This window comes from Homo sapiens, chromosome 7 (assembly GCF_000001405.40).
Source record: "Homo sapiens chromosome 7, GRCh38.p14 Primary Assembly".
Taxonomy (NCBI): Eukaryota; Metazoa; Chordata; class Mammalia; order Primates; family Hominidae; genus Homo; species Homo sapiens.
The window spans coordinates 153098675-153100876 of NC_000007.14; the positions used below are offsets into that span (position 1 = coordinate 153098675).

Sequence of the window (2202 nt, forward strand, 5' to 3'; positions counted from 1 at the left end):
AGGCTTCAAACCACAGAACTTCATTTTTTCTAGAAGTCTGAAAACACACTGTCAGCAGGGCCACTCCCTCTGAAACATGCTGGAGAGAATCCTTCCTTCCCTCTTCCTGTTTGGGGAGCTCCTGGAAATCCTCGACTTATGGATGCATCTCTCTAATTGCTACCTCTGTCTTCACATTGGCCGTCTTCCCGCTGTTTCTGTGTCTTCTTTTCTTATATGGATGCCAGTCATTTGGAATCAGAGCCTACTCTTCTCCAGTTTGGCATCATCTTAACTAATTACATCTGCCAAGACTCTATTTCTAAATAAAGTCACATTCACAGGTACTTGGGTTGAGAACCTCAGCATATCTTTCTGGGGGACACAATGCAAATCCAAAACACCAGGTAAGCCATTGAGAGCAGTAGAGGTGATGACAACCGAGGAAGAAGGGAATTTATAAAGTGTAGTGAAGGAGGAAGATGATGAGGATGAGCTGCAGTTGCATGACAGGGCACAGCTGGTGCCATTGACCCCCATTTCTCAAGCTCCCCTCAGAAGGGGAGGCTCAGGGGAACTTTGGGGAATCTTCTCCATGTACATGTATGGAGGTGCGTTGGGTGGACATAGCCACCATGGAAGTGTGCCCCCCACACAGACCTCAGCCACCATGGAGGCGAACCCCACACAGACCTCAGCCACAATGGAGGTGAACTCCACACACAGACCTCAGCCACCATGGAAGTGAACCCCACACACAGACCTCAGCCATCACGGAGGTGAACCCCACACATAGACCTCAGCCACCATGGAGGTGAACTCCACGCAGACCTCAGCCACCATGGCAGTGTGCCCTACACACAGGTGTCAGCCACCGTGCAGGTGTGCCCCACGCATAGACCTCAGCCACCATGCAGAATTTATTCAGCTGCAAGAAGTGCAGTCAACTCACGACGTCCAGTTGTCAGCACATTCAGAGTCCACCTTGCCTTTCAAAATGAGGCTGCGCTCAACCTGAGGGGCCCCAGGCCATTGCTGAGCTCCACGGTGAGAGGAGTAGAGTCTCACCACTTCTGCCCAGAACCTCCGATGGGCAATTTTTGCCCCGAAGCCCCCCATTGAGTTTGCAGAGACTTTATCAGTGCTGTTCCACAGTATGAGATGATATTCCATCTTTCTTCTTCTCTCTTTATCTTTCGCAGGCACTCTCCCCTACTCACCACTCCATAAATCTCTGTCACTCCTACCTCCATCTCAGCATGTGCTTCTCAGGGGCACAAGCGTGACACAGTGTGTCAGGTGAGAATGATGGGTTGGGGCGGGGATGGAGCTGCCTGCTTCACATGTGGCTCCTTATTTCCCTCCCAGCTTCTGTCTCTGGGTATACAAATCTCTTTACTGTGTCTTTCCAGTTACTCAGCTCTCTTTCCCCCTCTCTCATTTCTCTCTACCTGGGATTCTATGTCCCATGACATGGAAAGATACACTACCAAATACAATCATTCAGTTGAAGTTTATGACCACTGAAGGCAGAGTAGGTAGAAGTCTGTGTCACACAAACATGAAGCTCAAACATATCCTAAGCACTGCTTGAAATGATTACTTGGCAAACATGTATCCCCTGGGGAGCTACCTCATTCAGTTAAGAATTTTCTTTCCTTGGATACAAACCTGCCTACAAGGAATAAAGAATTATACTTCTGTTATTATTAATGCATATTTAGTGTGAATATGAGTTTAATCCAGAGATTAAAAACTTGGAGCCATAAAGTAAATCTTGTAGAAGACAGAATATGCTGACATTTTAGTGAATGTTAATTCTGTTTTAGATGGGTGAGGTTTTGAAACAGTTGATTTGATTACCAACATGCTACTATTAGGTTGGTGCAAAAGTAATTGCGGGCCAGGCATGGTGGCTCATGCCTGTAATCTCAGCACTTTTGGAAGCTGAGGCAGGTGGATCACTTGAGGCCAGGAGTTCAAGACTAGCCTGGCTAACATGGCGAAACATCGTCTCCTACTAAAAATACAAAAATTAGCCGGGCGTGGTGGCGCGCACCTGTAATCCCAGCTAGGCAGGAGAATCGCTTGAACCCAGGAGGCACAGGTTGCAGTGAGTCGAAATTGTGCCACTCCATTCCAGCCTGGGCGATAGAGCAAGACTGCCTCAAAAAACAAAATACAAAAACAAAAAGTAATTGCAGTTTTTGCCATTTTTTAAAT

General features: G+C 47.3%; 1 annotated feature.

Annotated features, from left to right (window-relative positions):
- Positions 252-753: an enhancer, noted in NCBI's record as "H3K4me1 hESC enhancer chr7:152796011-152796512 (GRCh37/hg19 assembly coordinates)". NCBI's record gives its function as "activates a minimal SCP1, AML or CMV promoter by ChIP-STARR-seq in primed H9 embryonic stem cells {active_cell/tissue: H9 hESC(primed)}" and the evidence as "EXISTENCE:reporter gene assay evidence [ECO:0000049][PMID:30033119]".